Source organism: Homo sapiens, chromosome 12 (assembly GCF_000001405.40).
Source record: "Homo sapiens chromosome 12, GRCh38.p14 Primary Assembly".
Lineage (NCBI taxonomy): Eukaryota > Metazoa > Chordata > Mammalia > Primates > Hominidae > Homo > Homo sapiens.
Genome location: NC_000012.12, coordinates 21,553,738 through 21,576,180, shown reverse-complemented (window position 1 = coordinate 21,576,180; position 22,443 = coordinate 21,553,738). Strand labels below are relative to the sequence as shown.

General features: G+C 35.6%; 1 protein-coding gene across 4 annotated transcripts in view, besides 1 other annotated feature; it reads left to right on the top strand.

Moving 5' to 3' along the window:
- Nucleotides 1-22,443, top strand: part of GYS2 (glycogen synthase 2) — a 72,271-nt gene that overhangs the window by 28,667 nt on the left and 21,161 nt on the right. For 3 of the 4 annotated variants that reach the window (XM_024448960.2, NM_021957.4, XM_006719063.4), the window contains 9 exons: nucleotides 124-315; nucleotides 1,855-2,037; nucleotides 7,172-7,316; nucleotides 12,836-12,953; nucleotides 13,143-13,263; nucleotides 15,689-15,795; nucleotides 16,471-16,530; nucleotides 17,012-17,090; nucleotides 17,868-17,981. In XM_024448960.2, coding sequence (XP_024304728.1) covers nucleotides 124-315; nucleotides 1,855-2,037; nucleotides 7,172-7,316; nucleotides 12,836-12,953; nucleotides 13,143-13,263; nucleotides 15,689-15,795; nucleotides 16,471-16,530; nucleotides 17,012-17,090; nucleotides 17,868-17,981 — 1,119 coding nt within the window. Of the gene's footprint in view, nucleotides 1-123; nucleotides 316-1,854; nucleotides 2,038-7,171; nucleotides 7,317-12,835; nucleotides 12,954-13,142; nucleotides 13,264-15,688; nucleotides 15,796-15,952; nucleotides 16,422-16,470; nucleotides 16,531-17,011; nucleotides 17,091-17,867; nucleotides 17,982-22,443 lie in introns of those variants that run through there. The other variant, XM_017019245.3, reaches the window with a different exon arrangement.
- Nucleotides 17,058-18,257: an enhancer, noted in NCBI's record as "CDK7 strongly-dependent group 2 enhancer chr12:21710858-21712057 (GRCh37/hg19 assembly coordinates)". NCBI's record gives its function as "activates an origin of replication core promoter dependent on BRD2, BRD4, P300/CBP, MED14 and CDK7 cofactors, with strong dependence on CDK7, by STARR-seq in HCT116 cells {active_cell/tissue: HCT116}" and the evidence as "EXISTENCE:reporter gene assay evidence [ECO:0000049][PMID:35650434]".

Sequence of the window (22,443 nt, the reverse complement as noted above, 5' to 3'; positions counted from 1 at the left end):
TCTAAGTAGCTTGTTTAATTTGCTATTGAGTACTACATAAAGTTTATATCCTCAGAGTGCAAATACATTGTCCTGTCTTGCATGACTTAATATCACTACATGGCTGTGTTCTTTATATGACAGGTGCATTTTGGAAGATGGCTGATAGAAGGAAGTCCTTATGTGGTACTTTTTGACATAGGCTATTCAGCTTGGAATCTGGACAGGTGGAAGGGTGACCTCTGGGAAGCATGCAGTGTCGGCATTCCTTATCATGACCGAGAAGCCAATGATATGCTGATATTTGGATCTTTAACTGCCTGGTTCTTAAAAGAGGTATGGTTTATTATATAGTGATACAACGGAGGAGCAGCACAACTGCTTTCAGTGCCCAAGAATGATCCCATGATCTTTAAATGAGGCAGATTTTGAGATGATGCCATTATGGCTTGTCCTAATACAATTGAAAGAAATCTGAGGAAATGTTGAGCATTCTGCAAATTAAATGGAATAGCGTAATAATGATACTTATTACTATTTACCTCATGTCAAATTTAAATGGCATGATGTGTATCAAACACCCAATTATATTGCCCCATATATAGATGATACTTAATATATATATATAAGAAAAACATGAAGTATAGAATCTTAAGAGTAGCAAATAGCTTAATAAGCTATTTGTTTAATAAGCTTTCCAGGTGATCCTGATGTACACTACATGTGATAACCACTGTTTTAAGTTTACTCTCCAAATTTCCCAATTCTCTGCTCAGCCTTCTTCAATGACAGTGTTTTGCTATTGTCTCTATTAAGGAAATGAACTCTCATTGTGGAGTCAGTGTGAATGTTAATATTTTGTAAGGGCAAACAAAATAAGTTGTCTCTTTGTAAGGCAAAGATACGGATGCCCACCTGATTTGGAACTAGACCCTGGGGTGGAATTAGACCCCGATCTTCAGTGTGTTACAAAGCTGCTATTTGATTCTAGGCATGTTTTTTATTAGCCTCTTTCTCTCTAATTCCATATTCTTAATAATATATCAGTTAAATTTTGTTGGCTTCAAGAAAAAGAAAACCCAAATAAGATAAATTTAAAACATGGAATCATTTATTATTTATTATAAAATGATGTAACGGCATTTTATCTTTGTTTCTCAAAATCAAATATGCAAATATATACATGAAAATCATTGTATGCTTTTAGAGTTTTCAAGTCATTGAAAATCCAAGTAATTATCTATTAGAAAAAAATGATATTGTAAAAGTCACTTTTTCTTCATATGCATTTTTTTTTCATTATGATTGTTAAATAGTTTTAGGCAACATTTGCTTCTCCATAATTGGGACACTACAAATATACAAGGCATTTTCAAGTCTCTTCCTGGCCATTTCTTTAGTAAATATCAAAATATATACTATAAATAAACACAAGTCTAGTCAATTAAAAAAAATTTAAGTAGTTTTTTAAAAATAAGCTTATAAGTAAGTGGTCCCAATTGATTCAGCTGTTCAGTGATATCTTTAAGAATTTATTTATTCTTAAATAAATATTTTTTGAGTGCCTACTTTGCATTTATTCCATTTATTTATTAATATTCATTACCTGTTATTAATATTAGTATTTATTCTTCTGTGGATATAAAAAATCTGCTCCATCACTGAAAGGGAGGATTAAGACCTAAAAATATATGGGGTTAATGAACATGCCACTGAATCCTGTATTATCCTTGCTAAATATTCATGCTTTATGTTTCGACTCCTTTAAGTTGCAAAATAATTTATAGACACCATAACTCCACTTATGATGTGGACCATGAGCACAATCAAGCTTCATCAACAACTTTTCTGAATGCTTTTTTTTTCCTAATGTAGGTGACAGATCATGCAGATGGTAAATATGTCGTTGCCCAATTCCATGAATGGCAGGCTGGAATTGGACTGATCCTTTCTCGAGCCAGGAAACTTCCTATTGCCACAATATTTACAACCCACGCTACACTACTTGGGAGGTATCTCTGTGCAGCAAATATTGATTTCTACAACCATCTTGATAAGGTAAATATTCCTTCCTCCCTCCCTCTTACTCACCCTTCTTTCAGATTGCTGAAGCTGAAAGATAAGTATTGATCTGTACATTTCATCTGCCAACCAGATGGCAGAAATGCCCTTTTAGCTAATCAATATTCATGACAAAGCTTCCCTTGGGTTGAAAGACAGCTCATATAGTTCAACTTTGTTCAGAGTACACTAGAGTATAGAGGTGAGAGGCCTGATTTCTGTCCCACTTTGGAACAATAGTTCCAGAGGGATATGGTAGGAGTAAAGACATGGTGTAGGTGCAAGGTTGGGCCCTTGTTCTAGCCTAAGGCTATGGAAGCGCTGTGAACACCCTGGATCCACATGCAGCTCTGAGTGGCAGGTAGATAATTGAGATTTGAGACATACAAACTTGCACTATGAGACTTACTTCCTCTATTTCTTCTATCCTCCAAGTAAACAATTGATTAAAAGCCACATTATAGGTTGATAGGTTCAGTTTTCCCTGTAACTTTGCAATGCACAGGGGGCATTTTTGTGGGATCAAGTAAAACAGAAGTTATTGCAAACAGGGATATGGGTCCTTGGTGAACAAGAAGTTATTTTTGCTCATCTTAGCAGGTTACCTGAGTCTATGACCTGCCAAAGTCATTCAGTTTTGATTTATTTCTTCTATTTTTCATGTCAATTTAGATTAATGAAAGTATATATTTTATATCATCATGTTAATAATATTAACAAAATGTTTGAGTAGTATAAATTCAGAGGTTTTGCAGATTTGGTGTCTATATTAACAATCAAATCTATTTAGTACTCTAGGGTTCAGTTTTGCTATCAGGAAAATTAGGAAGTTAGAAAGTTGATTTTTAAAAATTTCCCAGCTTAAAGAGTTCTAGGATTCTATAAAATAGAATGTGTATGTGTGTGTAATACACAAATAATACTCAAATAATGCCACTGAAAAGTTATACTACTGTCTCAAAGACACTTAGAGCGCAAGAACGTTCTTTCTGAAAAACTTTAACATCTGTAAAGCAATGAGTGGTCCTGATGAGCCCTTCCCTATAAAAAGGTCAGCCTAATTTAAAGGTCAAACTAGAAACACAAGCTGTACATTTAAAATAAAATCACCAAGGAATTCAGAAAGCCTGGGGATCTGGGAGGTTCTTAGCGGTATATAGTAATGGTGGACTAATAAGGGCAAACCAGTGATCTGTGATAAGCTGGTAAGCTCAACAACCATGCTTCCTGGAGAGGAGTGCACTTTGACTTCAGTGAAGGAGAAAATATTAGAGTGGCAGATTGAATATTTCACTTCAGAATTCTTGAATCTTGTATAGTAATAATTAATTTTAAAAGCTACTAATAATATACATAGGATATTTTTCTTTGGTTTTAAGGAAGAAATGCATTATAGTATATAGTTATATATTACAATTTTACCCTTTTGATGAAAGGGCAGTATTTTTCATACTGTCTTTAGATATAATCACACATCTCTCTAGTTTAAAGCCCTTCACTGGTTGAGATACTTAAGTTTAGTCAGATCCCTGCCCATCTTTCTAGTAAAATGTTCTATCTAGCAAAATGACTAGTAGACAACAAGCAGTCAAGAACTAGCTTTTGGGTTAAATTCATAGTCATTTTACACAGCAGAAGCCCCCATGCTCACACTAAATTTAGAATTTGGGTGACACATAAGAATACCAAATTATATACATGAAAGGTTTTTAAAATTTCAGTATAAGGAAGAAGTCATAGTTTAATCTTTGATGCAGGAACCAGGATCAGCTTCAGTAAATTCTGACTCAGACAAATGAAAATAGGGCAAATATGAGAACAAGAATAAGATAATTAAACTTTTGTAAAATCAGAAAGATTAGAACGATTTTACTCAAATTACTGCTAACTGAAAACAATTTTTGTTAGTAGCCAATTACAAAAACTCTAACGCTGGTTTAAGTTTTTAGTAAAATTCATTATTTAAAATAAGATTTTAACCATTTTCAGCCAGCGTATGAAATTTCTGAGAATATGTCTCCAAATTCATTTTTTAAAGTCCAATCATTGATCAATTATCCTCTCGACTCTAATGACTACATAATAAATTCTTTTTTTTCCTCTAAAGCCTTTAGTTTTCTTGTTTTGCCCCCCGCCCCACCCCCCCTCCCATTTTATGTTGTTTGTTTGTTTTTGTTTTTGACGCGGAGTCTTGCTCTGTCGCCAGGCTAGAGTGCCGTAGCGTGATCTCGGCTCACTGCAACCTCCACCTCCCGGGTTCAAGCGATTCCCCTGCCTCAGCCTCCTGAGTAGGTGGGACTACAGGCACGCACAACCACAGCCAGCTAATTTTTTGTATTTTTAGTAGAGACGAGTTTTCACCATATTGGCCAGGATCGCCTCGATCTCCTGAGCTCGTCATCCGCCCGCCTCAGCCTCCCAAAGTGCTGGGATTACAGGCGTGAGCCACCACTCCCGGCCTTTTTTTTCTTAATTGTAGCAGAATTTCCTAGATGGAAATCTGAGGACAGTGCCGTTTGGGATTGGAAAATGGGGAAGGAAGCCATGGACAATTATTTGGTGGATTTAAACTCTTTCTTCTGATCAAGCTTTGAGCTAGTCAACTTCAATTACAGGGTTATCCACATGTGTCACTGGACTGTGTTTTATTGATTAATATGTACTTTACCCATTTTTTGTTTTTCTATACACATTATCCAGAATTCAATAAAAAACTATGAGATATATTAAAATGCAAGAAAGTAAAAACCCATTGTCAGAAAGACCAGGTCCAGATATGTCCTGTGTTGGAATTATTGTACAGAGATTTTAAGATATAATCATAAATATGTGGAAGAATGGACAACATGTGTAAACGGATAAGGTTTCTGTAAAGCCACAGGAGTGGCCACGCGTACTACAGACCTAAAAGATAAGTGTGCCCCATGGGAGGAGGGAAAGGCAGAAGCATGCACACCCACCCGACTTCCCCAAGGCCTCTCACGGGGTCTCCAGGCTCTTGCTATCCTGCCTCTGTATTTGTGCATACTCAGCCTGCTCATTTAGAAAATCTATCTTCCCATCTCTAAATGTCCAAATGTTAAATGCTGTCTTATCTGTGACATGTGATTCTCTACAACAATAATAATAATTAATAATAACAATGGCTAAATTTATTGAGCACTTTCCATATACCAGGCACTTTTCTAAACATTTGACATTTGTTGTCTCATTTGAAATTCACAAAATACTCAATGGGATAGAAAACATTCTTTACTTCTTTCCAGAGTTATTTTTCTTAAACACTGGCTCTGTCTTTACCACACCTCTAAATAAACACTTTCAGAGTGGCTTTTCTTGTTTACAGGACAAAGGCAAAATTCCTAGGCTCATCTTCAGGGATTTCAGTGATCTGGCCCTATTGTATCCGACCAGCCTCTGTCTCTTACATTCTACATCCAGTGCTACAGTCACATCAGATGTCCTGCTATTTTCTGCACATGCCATAGCATTTTCTATACTTGTTCTTTAGGGCAGCTAGCATTTCAGCTAAAAATAACTTTCCCAGAATTAAACTTTCATATCCTGGTCCAAATGCCATTTTATTCATCCAACCAATTTGGAGATAGAAAGATGAATAAGTCTTCGTCTTTGCACTTGAAAGTCTTACATTTGTAGAGTTGATACTGACTACGCTTACTGCGTAGTATGAGATAATTTTGCCTACCTTCAGCCAGAGTGAATCAGTGCTGCTTTGATCCTATAACTTATTCAGACACATACTCATTTCATTTCTACCTGTTTTTAATCCATTTTCCATTAATTTATAAGTTTCTTAAAGTTAATAGATACACATAAATTGCTCAAAAAAGTTGATTAAATGAGAGATTTGGTTTCATTAATTAGGCTGGCCACATAGAGCTTTTAAGAAAACTTCTGCTGATCCAAGCATGTCATATACAACCTGATTCAAACATTTTCAGAGAGATGATTCCAAATATTACAGTCATGAAAGAATGCTCTAGGAGTTTTCTTGTTCTAATCATGAGATTCCTCTAATGGGTCTCTTTTTAGTATTTTTCTCTATATGATGCCATAATTATTGGGACTAACTTCTTGATAGAGTTGAAGTCTCAATGATATAAAAACAGATGAATACAAGACTGTATTCATTAATCAGTCAGGCTGATTAAGGATCAAATTAGGGTTCTACCAAGATTCTTAATAGCAATGTGACCTTCGACAAGTTTCTTGACCTCTAAAAGGTTCAATTTCCTTCTCCATAAAATGAAGGCAAAATATGTGTCTCAGTAGTTTATAAGAATTAAATATGTTATTGTGCGTAGTGGAGTGCCTGACACTAGTGCTGAAGAGCTACTAAAAATCTTCACTATGAAAAGCACCCTACTTACATAATGTCAGAAACTTTACATATTCTTTTTTTCTTAGACACTGCTAGTTTCATATGGAGCTGCGTGAGACACTACATTCAGTAACTAAGTGAAATGGCAAAAGCCCACACTGTTGCCAGTTATTTAAGTGATTGTTGGGAATTTGACTTTTTTTAAGTTAAGCTACCCAGAAGCATAGATAATTGCATAATCTAGCACAATATCTAACTAGACTAACTATACACTCTTTGCAATTATAAAGGGGAAGTTCTATAACCAAGGAAAAGCGTTTGTCTTTCTCTTTTTCAGGTTCCCTTTCAGTGAATTAAGCATTATAATAATTATTCTTATTTTCGATGTCAACTTTAATGTCAACTTTGTTTCATTGTTTATGGGAAAATATATAAAAGACTTTGGAGAAAGGCATTAGCTCAGTATTCCAAGATGTAGAATAAGTAAAAGTGTAATTAAAATGTCAAAAATTCAAGAATTCTATGTGATTACAGTAAGGTAGAAACATCATTTACTTAGGGAGTTAAACTGCAGTTTAGAGGGAGAAATGGAGTAAACAATGTCTTTTAAAGTGTAATTCCTTATGTATATTGTAGTAATGGGTTTAATTCAAGTTTTTATTACTTTTTTGTGGTCATAAATTTTTACACAGCCTTGAGGTAAGCCACTTGGTGAAATGTGTGATTTTGTTTAGCTTGTGTAGAAGGGCCATTGTTAGCAAATGTGTGTTTTATTTTTGTTTCTAACAGTTTAACATTGACAAAGAGGCTGGGGAAAGGCAGATTTACCACCGGTACTGCATGGAGCGAGCTTCCGTTCATTGCGCTCACGTGTTCACCACGGTTTCTGAAATAACAGCAATAGAAGCTGAACATATGCTGAAGAGAAAGCCTGGTAATTATTATCCCTGGATCACCTATCTTTCAGTTCCGAATGATGTTACACTATGAGGATTTTGTTTTCCATCGTGAAGTAGTAGTTTGAGGAAAAATTGCATTCAGTTACCACGCAGCTCTTTTTATGTATTTTAATTCTCAATTTCAGTAGGTTTGCAGGGAAGCCAACTCAAAGCTATATCTGGAACATGGCTAAGTGTTCAATCTGTGCTTGTTGAATAAATGAGCTATGCTTGAAATAACCTTGGTATGACCTGGGTTGTCATAATGAGTCGGTATGTGTAAGGAAGTTCGGTTGACTCTTGTCTTTTGAGAAAATGAAAGCCAAGAAAACAGAAATTTGTGTGAGACTATCCCAGTCCTACATCTTGTAATATTGCCTCATTGGTGCTGTGTTGGTAGAAACGTTTTATATTACTTATCCCCAGATTCCTTGGAAATTTTTCCAGGAACTATCTACAGACCCAACCAGAGCTTGCAATGTGAAGAACTCATGCTCATAAGACATGGCCCTGTCACCCGGCCACGGCTGATTGGCCCAAAGGAAGACATCTGACATAAGCTGGGCCAATCAGAATGCTCCCATTCAAACGAGTCTCTCAATGCACTGTCATACAATGAAACACTACCAATAACTCAAAGCTATTGGTAGTGTTCATTTTTCTACTTTGTTGCACTGGATGCAAAGAAGATTAAACTACACTGAATTGTTATAAGAAGCAAAAACAGACTGAGAGAGAGAACTAGAGGCTCTCCACAGTGATTTCGACCCCTTTTTCTTTTTTTTTTTTGAGATGGAGTCTTGCTCCATTGCCCAGGCTGGAGTGCAGTGGCGTGATCTCAGCTCACTGCAGCTTCTGCCTCCCGGGTTCAAGCAATTCTCTGCCTCAGCCTCTCGAGTAGCTGGGATTACAGGCACCTGCCACCACGCCCAGCTAATTTTTGTATTTTTAGTAGAGACGGGGTTTCACTATCTTGGCCAGGCTGGTCTTGAACTCCTGACCTCGTGATCCACCCGCCTTGGCCTCCCAAAGTGCTGGGATTACATGTGTGAGCTACCGCGGCCAGCCAGTTTTGACCACTTTTAAAAATCATTCCTAAGGCTCAGCTAAATATTTGCCATGAGACACTCCGGCATCCTATTAATAAATTCCTTGTTATTATACTTAAGCCAGCATTAGTAGGTTTATATTACTTGCAACGAAATCATCCTAATTAATATATCCTCCTTGCTTAATTTCTGTGGTCTTGTCTCTAGTTGTCCTTCTTTCAGATAGCAGAATGTGTAGAAGAGGTATTTCAAGGTGCTAGGTTAAAAAAAAAAAAAAAAACAAGATAGAACAAGAACCCAACTAATTTGAATAGTGGCAGCATTAAGAACCTATAGTAGCCTTTTTTCTTTCCAAGGATTCTCTTGAATTCGCTTGGATTCTTACTCTCATTCTTCTTTTGGGAGTTTATTCCATCAATATGCTCATTTCTCTCTTGGATCTTCCTTTTTCCTGTCTACAGTTATCTTTCTCTGAGCTCACAAAAATACTTTCTTTGTTTTTGCCTATTCTAAAATGAAAATTTCTCTTGAGGTTTCTACCCTGCCAAATATCATACCATCTCCTCCTTTCTCCTGCTGCCAAATATCTTATAAGAGTAAACCATAATTGCTAGGTTCACTTACTCATTAGCCCCTGGGACTCTGGCTTCCGACCTCCAACTCTGGCCTAAAATTGTGTTTCCAAAAATCATCGAATTCAGGGTCATCTAATGTTTTTTATTTTTCTTTATATTCTCTAGCATTTAAAGGCGGTGAACATCTGTTTCCATTATTTTTCATGACACTGCACATTCTACTTTCTTTCCAGTATAATCTTTTCTGGTGCCTCTAATCATTTTTCTACTTTCTTTTACTTTTCAAAGTGGACATTCTCCAAGATTCTATTCTAGGTCCTGCTTTCTCTATATACTATTTTCTTAAATTTTTGTTTTCTTAAGAATATAGCTACAGAGTAGTGGTCAAAGCATGAGCTTTTTGCCAAACTGCCTGTATTCAGTACCAAAAATGATTTTATGTTGAGTATACGTTACTAGCTGTGTGACATTATAAAAGTTACTTAAGCTCTCTGTGTCTTATCTGCATAATGTGGATAATCCTTTCTCTTATCTAGAATCATTGCAATGATTCAAACGTTAACATATGGAAAAAACTCAGCTCAGTGCCTGGTACATTGTAAAGATTTAGAAAATATCGATTATTATTTTGTGTGGATCACTGTCTAGATTTTCCCCAAGTTCTCATCTATTACTGAGTGCCCACAAGCTAGCTTTCTCTGGAAGTTCTACCAGAAACCATAAACACTGCAATCTGGGCTTCTTCAGACTTGCAGTAGAATCATGTGGTGGCTCTGATGGAAATTGTGAAATCTCTGAACATTTTGTGGCTCAAGAAGGTCAATGGACTTTTAGTAGATCATTAAACATATAAACCTTCCCAAGAGCATTCTGAAAAAAAAAAAAAGATCACATAGTGTAACTATGACTTTGTATTCCTTGATTTTTCTTGAAGTCTTCCCCGATTAAAAGTTTAACTACAGCCATTACTTTTAACGCTGAGGGTGCAACTACAGAGCAAGAGGAAAATTGGCTGGGTGAAAAACATGCATGGGACCAGATATTTTTCAAAATGTCACTATATAATAATAATTGGCAAAAGCTTATATTTATTACTATATCATTATGCTTTTGCCATAAATTTGACTCAAAATAGTTTAAGATGTTGAAAAGGTGATATTTTCTTAAAAATATTGGAGAGAAGGCAGTATGATAAATTTACCAATTACAGATACAAAACTGAATACAACATATGCCTTAAATATCTTATGTTGCTTTAAAAAAATTTGTCATTTTCCCTTTAATATAGTCATTAATAGTGTTGCAATTATTGATTTTGGAGCCCATGCTAATACCTTACTATGAACTCTAGCTAATACCATCCTTTAGTCAACGTTTTTCTTTTGTGTTGGCGTTGTTAACATCAGAAAGGTGGGTAACATTGTCTTCTACTTGGGAACAATAGCAAGAAATTAGTGACCAATGTTGCTTCCAGGGAAAGGAAAAAATTATGGAACGGAAGTGAAAAGGAGATTTTTCAAGGTCAATATTTTGATTTTTTAAAAATTTAAATGATATGAGCATATAACTTATATACACTAATTTATTATGTAATAATACATGTATTTATATAAACTAATTAAATTAAATTAATCAAATTAATTTAACTAATTTAACATCATTTCCTGGTTATTTTACTACATTTTACTATGATTTTAGGTTATTTGTATATAGTAGTGCAGTAATACCATTATATGTTACTGCGCACCATTACATACAAATAACCTAAAACCTATAACCTATATAATGGTGCAGTAACATCCATATATATATATATATATATATATATATATATATATATATATATTTCATGGATGGAAATAGTATAATGGTGTTACTGCACTTTTCTTCCCAACTCTGCATTTACATTGGTAGCTTGAAATCAGTCATGATGGGAATATTTACACCTTGGAGAAAGGCAAACACTAAAATTATCTATCTCTCTCTCTCTTTTTCTCTCTTTTTCCTGGAGTACTCTTTGTTAAATTTTACCAGCATATGACTGCACATAGGCCTGTGCATGTGAGATTATTCTGTTATAAATATGGATATTAGAAGACCTCACTGGCCTAACACTTTAGGCTAATGAACAGACAATTTCAGGACACAGATCTTTTTTTTATAATTGTTTGTGAAACAATTTGGAAAACTGCTGAGGATTACAATCCATAATAAGCTGGTATCCACATACATTCTTGCCTTCTATAGCTTTTGTATGGTACAGTTGTATGACACCACTGCATCAAAAGGGTGGAAACTCCTGAGCCAGGCTGCTTTGGTTCTAAATCCAGCCTCTGTTACTTTGTGCTTACTTGACATTGGGCAAATGACTTAATATTCTGCAGGCCAGTTTCGTTATTTGTAAAATGGGGACAGTGAAAACAATTTACCTCATAGGGATTTTTAAAAATTATTATATATCAAATATAATAGGGCCTGGCACAAAGTGAGCCCTACATAATTGCTGTAGAAAGATAAATACATTTTAAGATGTAATTGTCATACTGTACGAATCACATTATATAGTTCATTTAGGAATTATTCACATGAAAGCTTTCACTGGAAACCTTGGCTACTTAAAATTGATTCTACTGTGGCCATGTATGTAAAAGAGTGTAACAAAGGTCAGATTACTTAATAAAAACTCATAAAAATCAGTAAGTTTTTATTTTCCACAAAAAATGACCAAAAAGCCTGGATTGATTTTGTGGAACCATGTCAAGAAAATAGCCAGTTAACTGTAAAAGATTCTTTTTTTTTTTCTTTTGAGATGGAGTCTCACTCTGTCACCCAGGCTGAAGTGCAGTGGCGTGATTTCAGCTCACTGCAACCTCCACCTCCTGGGTTGAAGCAATTCTCCTGGCTCAGCCTCCCCAGTAGCTGGGACTACAGGCGCACACCACCATGCCTGACTAATTTTTGTATTTTTAGTAGAGATGGGGTTTCACCATGTTGGCCAGGCTGGAAAAGATTCTTAAAATTACAAAAATCTTCATAGCCCTATGCCACATTTTTTTTTAACATAGCTTCTTTTTTCTTGTTTTTGCTTTATGCTGCTAAATCTGATAACCCATGTATTCAACTCAGTAGGTAGTTTCCGTCATATGCTCAGAGTGGTCCCTCTCTTTCTTGTCACAGACCAATGTTTTGAAAACCAAGAATGTCTTCCTGCCTGAGCAACAAAATCTCCTGGGAAGAATGAATCAGTTGTGTTAGAAATAAGAGATGGAAATAAGAATAGAAATTAGAAGTAAGAGGTTTCCTTTTCCAATTTTCCAAATGCACAAAAGGTGTCCCATACACTTGTGGAAAACAAGATGGCAGGAGGTAGTTTAGTGCAGGGTTAAGGAAACAGTATGTGGGGTCAGACTGCATGGATTCTGCTTCGACTTACCAGCTGTGTGTTCTTGGACGGCGTCTTTAAACAACTCTGTGCCTGAGTTTCCACCTCTGAAAATGCAGATAAGAGCACTCACTCCCTTGGTTTGTTGAAGAGATTGAGTTACACTCTAAGCCTTTAGAGCAACACCTGGTACACATTAAATAATCAATAAATGAGTACTATAATAACCATTATTATTGTTATTGATTAACTTGTTTCATTGTACCAGTGCTTCATTGTTATTTTGGTCAGGCATTTCTGATTTCCTATTTCAATCAGTAGACCAAATTTGTTGCGAATTTTTATGAATTTTTTATGAACTGGAAGTTTTATAAATTTTAAATTTTATGGTAGTCAGAAAGTAGAATGTCAATAAACATCTAACTTTATAGTTTTAAAGATACTTTTTTCTACAATGGTACCCTCTTTGAAAAGAGAATTTTCATAATAATTTTGTTTTGCCTTTCTAGATGTAGTTACTCCAAACGGCTTGAATGTTAAGAAATTTTCAGCAGTGCATGAGTTTCAAAATCTACATGCCATGTACAAGGCCAGAATCCAAGATTTTGTTCGAGGTCATTTCTATGGGTATGATTTTCTTTATTAAAAAGAAAAAGAAGTATCAGATATGAGTGATCTTTGGTAGAGAGAAAACAGAATTGTAATAATAAATGTTTATCTTTCCCAGCCCCCTTTGTACATTAACAGAATTCATGTGTACATTTTGTTACTGTTGCTGTATTTCATTTGAAACTGTTTGGTTTTGTTTTGTTTTAGTCATCTCGACTTTGATCTTGAAAAGACTTTGTTCCTTTTCATTGCTGGGAGGTATGAGTTTTCAAACAAAGGAGCTGACATCTTCCTAGAATCCTTATCCAGGCTAAATTTCCTGCTGAGGGTAAGAAAGCTCTAGGACATGGTATAACACTCTTGTAGGGAGAACTTTCTTCTGTGGGAAGTGAAGAATTTTTTGGCTTCTTAAATAGTTTTCAAGAGAATAAACGATAATCGTATTCTAAAAATGGCTTCAGCCTTTCAATTTACATATTGGAGTTACCACACTGTTGACTTGTGTGTTTGTCTATAATGTCATCTTTTTTTTTTTTTTTTTTTTTTTGGAGAATCTTAAGCTTATCCCATTATATGTCTCATTAAGCTTATCCCATTCTCCCCTTCTATGTTTTAATAAGTCATTATAACATCCCTTTTCCCTCACATGAGTTTGTAATCAATTGAAAAGTAAATATAGAGAAATCCAGTAAATGCAGAGCAAAATATCAATTTTCAGAAAATCAGTGAAGACTATAATGGAAGATGTGGCTTATGCACATGACAATACGCATCCTAATACTGAACCTTGTTATGACTCTTAGCCATTTAATCATAGGAAGCTCTGACCATCACTCTCCTCTCCCGACTGAAGCAGGCCTTCAGAGTAGCACGTGCCACATAGCTGGCAGCCAAACCCGACAGCACGAACTCTCTATAGAACAGGGCAGACACATACACACTCGGTTCACTCACCTCCCCAGCCACACCACCTCCCTGCGACTAAGAGTTTTAAACTCTTGAACTAGTGGATGTCACACCACATGAAAGCATGAAGGAGGAAAAAGAAGGTTCTTACTCCCAACCATGTGAAATCATTTTTTTTACTCAGGAAGGTGGGATACAAAGTGGGTTCTCAACTAACCGAGCAACACAATATGCATAAATAAAAGCAACTATAAAAAAAGATACCATGTCATAGCTATTGATGGCAGCTATTGGTTTATATTCCAATCCCATCACATAAAAATGTAGAATAAGTAATAGGAAAATATTCACAGGAGAAGAGTGTAGAATTTCAATCTTAATGAGATAATGAGAAAATCTAAACTTTCCTGAGTTCTGTACTACCCTCCAGTTAAATTTTTATTTCTTGGACATAAATTTTTTGCTTTAGAGCAGACATTATGCCAAATATGCTAAAAAAATTTACTAAAGCCACGTTAATAAACAAGCGATTTATTAATAAAATCCAACTATGCAAAACAGAACTGAAGACTAAAAAGATTATTCTTAAATAACCTTACTTAATATTTCCTAGTATATATTCATTCAACAAGCTTTATAATGGACTCACAACTATATCACATATACAATCTTTAGGGACATTATTAATAAATGCATTTATATAGTTATTAAATATTCACTTTATTTATAGATATGAAGAAAAGACTGATTACTATTATACTAGACATAAAAGATAACTGCAATACTTGGAGAAGTTAAAAGAAGGAATTCTCTTTCCACATAGTACATTTATTTTTTGATAGCACCTTGGCTGTTCCTAGGGTGAGTTTCCTATTGTATGCCTTCAGTAGCTTTCCCTAATAAAATGTCAGGCCCTAGAGGGCCGAGGCTGCATACTAGACGGTAAAGTGCCCCACACTCTGGAGCTAGTCAGTCATTTCCAGAACACATAAACCTTCATAGAGGTTCATGATTTTAAGTGAGTTTATGCTTTCATTCTTACAGCTTCTTAACAAGTCATTTCCTTTTGAGAGATGCTAAGCCAGCAGTTTAAATGTCAGCTTTGGCACTAACCTGTTATAGGACTCAGAGAAAATATTTAACCTCTCATTCCTTTCTTTTGACATTAATAAAATGAGGAGAGAAATGCCTATTGTACATGATTATTAGTAGTATATTTAAAGCACCCAGCACAGTGTCTGCTATCCCAAAAGTGCTCGTCATGTGCTTGTTTCTTTGCTTTAGGGCTAAAAACCAAAATACAACATCATGAGAATCAAGACATTTAGCGGAAAAGTAAAAATAATCTATCTGTCATCAATCAACATGAATAAGCAAAAAAATTGAAATATTATTTTAGCTTTTACCAAAGCTTAAATCTTCATTAAACTTCCAATCTGAAATTTTAAAGAACTAATTTTGGTCTTGTAATATTAGCTCTCATTCATGCTATTTTTTTAACCACAGAAAAGCACAGTGTCATCAATAGCAATTGTTATCTATTCTAGATGGTCAAAGGCACGAAAATATTTTGTTTGAATTTTCAAATTGTTAACTGACAAATACTGATTGAAAGTCAATTTGTTTATTGGCAAGTACAGACTGAAAATTTAAAATTTATTTTGATTTTAATTAAAATTTCTGAAAAAGTCTCAGGAAGGTGAATATAATCTCTCTGTGAAACATAAATAACTATACCTTTTATCTACTGATATTTTAAAACTCTACTTTTCAATGTTTAAGTTCCATCTATCATACTTTTTAAAAATCTTTGATAGTTGACTCTGTGTTTTCTAATTCCTCATCAGATGCATAAAAGTGACATCACAGTGATGGTGTTTTTCATTATGCCTGCCAAGACAAATAATTTCAACGTGGAAACCCTGAAAGGACAAGCAGTGCGAAAACAGCTGTGGTAATCTCACAACCTGTGAATGTTCTCTAGCAATAAATGTGAAAAGATTTCTTTTAAGTGAATGACATCTCATGTATCGCCTTGAACTTTGTTTTTTCCTTAAGATTATTACAGACAAATAATACTTGACTCTCTTTTCATCGTGCTACTATTTTAGGTTATCGTAATGGTTATAACATTATAGGTGTTATACAAATTTTGGAATGAGCTACCATTGAAGGAACAAGGCCCTGTAGAAATCTTTAAAGATGAGTCAAACATTTTTTAACTTTCTATTGTGAAATTCTAAGAACATGTCAAGTAAAAAGCTTAGTAATATGACTCCCTGTATACTCATAGTTCAGATTCAACAATGATCAACGAATTCCCGTCTTGTTACACCTATACCTTCATCTACTCCCCCTCTCTGCTCTCTATCCTGTTCCAATCATCATGAAGCAAAAAAATTTTAAGCTCTTTGTGCTGGCCATGGTGTTCTGTTGCCTCAGCTCTGGAGATGTCAACTTAAGCTGAATTGGCAAGTAGTAAAATAATAGAAGAGACTATAAAAAAGATACCTGTAATTTCAAAGAATGTAATTTCAAAGAATGTCAACAAAACAATAGCATTATCGTGACAAATAAAGATTAAACATTGTCATACTGTTTAAATGATAAATCTTTCTGTTTCAAACAGGGATGTTGCACATTCTGTGAAGGAAAAGTTTGGAAAAAAACTCTATGATGCATTATTAAGGTAGGTGCTTGAAATGCTTTCTACTTCAATCACTTAAGGTTTCACTATTCAAATTTAACAATTTAGACATCATAACTTATTAATTTTGTTCCAAATATCAAGGAATTAATAACCTTTGAAAATGTGTTATGTCATGTGAACAGTATTTTACCCTTCATTTGACAAAACTTGTAAATAGCTGTACAAATAAGAATACATTTATATGCAGGCAAGTTCTAATTCAATGATGAACTCATTAAGGGTTGATATGTCAGTCTGAAGCTGAGAGAGACTTCATGAGATTTTAATTCAAAATATATATTGACAATGTGTATTAAATATGTACTTAAATATTAAGTCTATGTGAACACATTTACTTAATAGAATAATCAACATTATTTATTAAAATACATGAAATATATAATATATAATCTGATGCTTAGGAATCACTGAATTAGTGCCAGCTGTTTTTATTTTTGTTATTAACATTTTTTCCCTGCAGAGGAGAAATTCCTGACCTGAACGATATTTTAGATCGAGATGATCTAACAATTATGAAAAGAGCCATCTTTTCAACTCAGGTAATAAGGAAAAAAGCACCCACTATGTCCCATAGTTATTAAATTCTATCTAATCAGTATTTTAATTTATTGGAATGTGCTAATTTGGAACATTTTCAGACCTGAGGCTAGAAAAGACATTCTTACATAGTCACTTAAATGATTACTTTGGACATTTTTTCATTAGTGGTTTTAAGAGCTCCTTTAAAACATCTCATGAAACTTGTCCTTCCACTTGCTTACAAAATTATTTTTGAATTAATATATTCAATATAAAAATTATGTATAGTTTAGTAACTACAAAAAAGTCCTAAATACTTCCAAAACATAGAATTTGAGTCACATTAGAGAAAAGAATATTTCTTAGTCGAGTGGAATTATTACAAAGGAGATAAAACAAATGTGTCAGGCTTGCATCAGAATGCTTGTTATAATAGGGAAGAATCAGATACTGGAGGACAGCCTTGCTAAAAGAAATCAGTAAAGTTCATCTTAAGTCAAGACTTCAGGACACCTTTATATTCCAAATAAGTCCCGGAAGCAATCAAGAAGTCCAGGTCTCTCATATAGTAGCTGCAGGCGGAAAACAAAAGCTTCATGTATTCATAGCATGCAAAGGAGATTCTTCAACCCATATCTTCCTTTGACACACACACAAGACTTAGTCATCATCATTAGTGCCATCTCAAAAGACTGAAGGTGTGAAGGTTGGATGAAATGTCAATGACCTATTGTTGAAATTAGTCACCCTTATTAATTCTTTCCGCAATTGATATTTCCTTCCCTCTCATACTTCAGCGACAGTCATTGCCCCCAGTGACCACGCACAACATGATTGATGACTCCACCGACCCCATCCTCAGCACCATTAGACGGATTGGACTTTTCAACAACCGCACAGATAGAGTCAAGGTAGAACAAATTGTTCATGTGGCGAACTTTAAACTTACTTAAAATATATTTTCTGAGAATTTATTAGCTTTCCTTAGTTGTTTTTACATCTACAAGAAATATTTTAAGTATTTTAAAGGAAAATGGGTTCAGTTTCTTGTCTTGGATAACTAAAGTATAATGAATATTTTGGTATAATTCTTGAAAATTGAAGCATATTCATAGCTTTGAGCTACAATTCTAGCATTTATTTCCACTGTACAATACTGCTAATAAGCATAAGGAAATTACTTACTTTTTTATTTCTTTTTTTTCTTTTTTTGAGACGGAGTCTCGCTCTGTCGCCCAGGCTGGAGTGCAGTGGCGCTATCTCGGCTCACTGCAAGCTCCGCCTCCCGGGTCCACACCATTCTCCTGCCTCAGCCTCCCGAGTAGCTGGGACTACAGGCGCCCGCAACCATGCCCGGCTAATTTTTTGTATTTTTAGTAGAGACGGGGTTTCACCATGTAAGCCAGGATGGTCTCGATCTCCTGACCTCGTGATCCACCTGCCTCGGCCTCCCAAAGTGCTGGGATTACAGGCGTGAGCCACCGCGCCCGGCCAGAAATTACTTACTTTTTAATGATACCAATTATTCTAAGAATTATTTGAATGAAAGAATCGTTGATATTAACATGGATAGTGTTTGTTTCTTTCTAATAAAGTTCAACTTAAGGGGATAATATGAGGAACTTCCAGTTTCAGAGAATGTGGCTGATAATGTTTTTATAAAATTTTCTATAGAGCAATTCATTCTTTTGACTTGAGTTTCCACAATGACTAGGCACAATGTTACTTGCTGAGGGCATTTATATGAATAAGAGCTGGTTTCTTCCACTGTGGACCTTAAACTATATGATGTTTACTGAGGGCCTGCTGTATTCCAGGCATGGTTTTGGATATTGAAGACAAAGATGAACATGCAAACAGATAATTGCTTACCTCTACTAAGCTCCATCCACTAATGTTCAAGATCAAATAGCCACAATGAATCTTTTCAAATGAACCCATTTTCACTTCTTTCTTTCATTTTTAGCAGATGACCTAATTGATAATTAAATAAATTATGAACTCCTTCAGTGTCCCCCCCATGCTGGCCCCAAATGTAGATTTTGACCTATCCTTACATTTTTTCCTTCAGGTTCTTACAACTATTCTAAGATTTCAATCCCCACATTCTTAGGAAACTTGCCTTATCTTTTTTCCTTCTGTTGTATTGTACATTTCATTCTTATCACTAGCTTCTTCTCTTGCTATCTATAAATATTCCTTAAATTTCTCCATGTTAAAAAAATCAAACAAATAAATTTGGCCTTCACCCTCTTTCCCTTTGATGTTTTTACAAAACCATGGGAGAGACGGTTGCATGTAGAAAAGGTCATCCTTAGTGACTGATGGATACTGGGAGTAAGAAAGAGGGAAAATTCAAGAATAATAGCCTCTTGGCTTTAGTATTTAACCAATGCTTCCTAAAAATCAAAACAAGTCTTTCGCACAAACTGGTTTGAGGATCATGTCATGAACTGAGTTCGGTTTCTGATTAATTGAGTTTGAGTTACATGTGAGATATAGAACTTGAGATGTTTAATGGGCACTGAGAAAACATAGGCCTGGAGCTTATGAGGGCAACCTTGAAGGAGAGACATTGGTGCATGGGCAGCAGTGGACATCAATGAATGATGACCCTGACACACTCAAAACCAGGTTGAGGGCTGGGTGCGGTGCTTCACACCTATAATTCCAGCCCTTTGGGAGGTTGCGGTAGGTGGATCGCTTGAGGCCAGGAGTTCAAGACCAGCCTGGGCAACATGGTGAAACCCTGTCTCTACAAAAAATACAAAGAAATTAGCCAGGTGTGGTGGTACACGCCTGTAGTACCAGCTACTAGGGAGGCATAAGTGGGAGGATTGCTTGGGCCCTGGAGGTAGAGGCTGCGATTGTGCCACTGCCCTCCAGCATGGGTGACAGAGTGAGACTCCGCCTCACAAAAAACACAAAAACAAAAATTAAAAAGACTAGGTTGAATGAGTAGAGAAAAATGTCAATCCAAGGAAACTTCAAGATTTAAGAGAAAATTAGAGGAAGAAAAGTCAGGGAAAGAAAGAGCAGAAAATAAAAAGAAAAATATTTCAGAAATTGAGGTAGGAGAAACTTTCTTAATTGTAGGAAGACCTCATGATACAGCATTAAGTAACACAAGCAGTTTATAAAATGTTCCATGCTGTGGAACATTTATATCAAACATATCCACATGCACATAGATGGCCCTAGGCCATAGAATTGTTACTGAGATGCCATGTTTTTGATCTGGGTCCCCTTGCTGGTGGGGCAGAAAGCCAGTTACTGAGAAAATGAGTATTGCCAGGGAAGAAGGCTTTTTCAGGTGCTGCAGCCTAGGAGAATGAGAGATCAGCCTCATACTCATCTCCCCATCTGACTAAAATTGGGGGATTTATATAAACAGGGAAGGAATGTAAAACAGGAATTAGGAAAGGATAAAGAAGCAATCATGAGGAATGAGGGTTCTGGCATCTCATTGTCTGGATGTGATGATCTGGTGAGCTTCAGTCCCTTACCTGAAGATCAGTTTCCTAAGGGAGGAACTCAGATGAGACAAATGTAAATTTCAAGTTTTAAGATCAGAAGTGTCAATTTCTATGTTTATTTAAAAACCAGTAAGTATTATTTCTATAGGACTATGGGGCCCCTTTCATTATAAGTGGTTTTTATTTTCTCATTTGTGTTTCTGTATTTCTGAAATATCTACACCTAGCACACCTCCTATAATAAGTGAGCTACATCCCTGGGAATGCAGGAATGTATCCATCAAAGTGAAAATAATACTAAGGGACAGAAATAATTTCTAAGAGATAGAAAAATCTATCCCTTAGATTTTTTAGTATTATTATATCCACAGAGACTTATACTTCATTGCAGAGTATGTCAGTACTAACTAGGCCTCATTCTCATATAGTTTAACCTAAGCTGGTCTTTCTGTCTCTGTCTCCTGGAAAGGAAATAGTAGAGGCAGGGAAAGTTTATTTCCCTGTAGACTTCTGTTTTTCTCAGAACATTTTGTGTCACACTTTTATCTAAATCTATAGGTCTTTTTCTGAGGATCTGTCTGCTGCCTGGCACATGTTACGTACAATACATGCAGACAGAAGGGAGGGATGAGGGAAAGTGGGAAAAGGAGGGATGGGTCATGCAGCTGGCAATAGTTCATGCTTCCCTTGGCCTTGGGAAGACTGAGGCTGGAAGGTTCATTGAAATTGGACGTTCTAAATGAAGAATGCCTTGCTGATCCGTGTTTTAAAAGTGTTTTGCATCAGTGAAACAATTTTCCAGGAATGGAAAAGTACCTTATTTCCTAAACATACGTAACACTTACATACCTCTGTGTCCTTCCTGATGTTATCATCTCTTCTGAAATACTCTTATCTGTTATTCTAACAATTCTTCTGGGTTCCAACCTAAAAGTCGTTATTTCCTTGCACCTTTCCCTAACACACATTCCTCTACTCCAGACAGGAACGGTTGTTTCCTTATCTGTATTCTCGAGACACTTTATATCTGCTATAGTTATAGGAGTGATTACAATAAATTGTGTTTTAAAAATGTTATGTGTCCATTTTTCTAGAATAACTCAGTTATTTGAGGCAGCAATCATTCTCATATGTATTGTCTCTGTTTAGGTTCTCTGAGAAGCAGACACCAAGGTGAGATTAGATATGCGAAGGACTAATTAGAGAAAGCCCTGTGAAGGATGAAGGGGTCGAAAGCAAGTACAGGCAGGGAGATGCAGGTCATGCAGGTCAATATACCCATGAGGAGAGAGCAGGAAGGAAGGATGATGTAGGAAGAACCACAGACTGCAGCCCAGATTTAAAAATGCCTCAGTCTGTCCTTCCTCCCTCCCTCCCTCCTTCCCTGCCTCTCTCCTTCCCTTCCTCACTTCCTTCCTTCCTTGCTCACTTCCTTCCTTCCTCACTTCCTTTTTTCCTTCCCTCCTTCCTTCCTTCCTTCTTCCTTCCTTCCTCGCTTCCTTCCTTCCTTCCATTCTTCTTTCCTTCCTAGAAAGGAAAGTCAATGTATTTAATAAAAAAACAAGAATTAATAAAAATTGGCTAATATACAAAAAATATACACACAGCAGCAGCACTTGTGCCTCACACAGGGGAAAAGCAGTGGTCGAAGACCACTCAACATGGCTTTTCAGTTAATGGAAGAGAAAAAGGAATACATACATATACATGTACACAGACAAATAGGAAAAATAGTTTTCGATAGTGTAATCTACAGCTAACACAAATTCAGAACTATTTTACAGTGCTTCATTTCTTAATACAAAAGAAGCCTATTTTATGTGTGTGTGTGTGTGTGTTATATGTGTGTATAAATTGGTTTACTGTTAACTTATTTTAAATATATTAGTGTTAATGT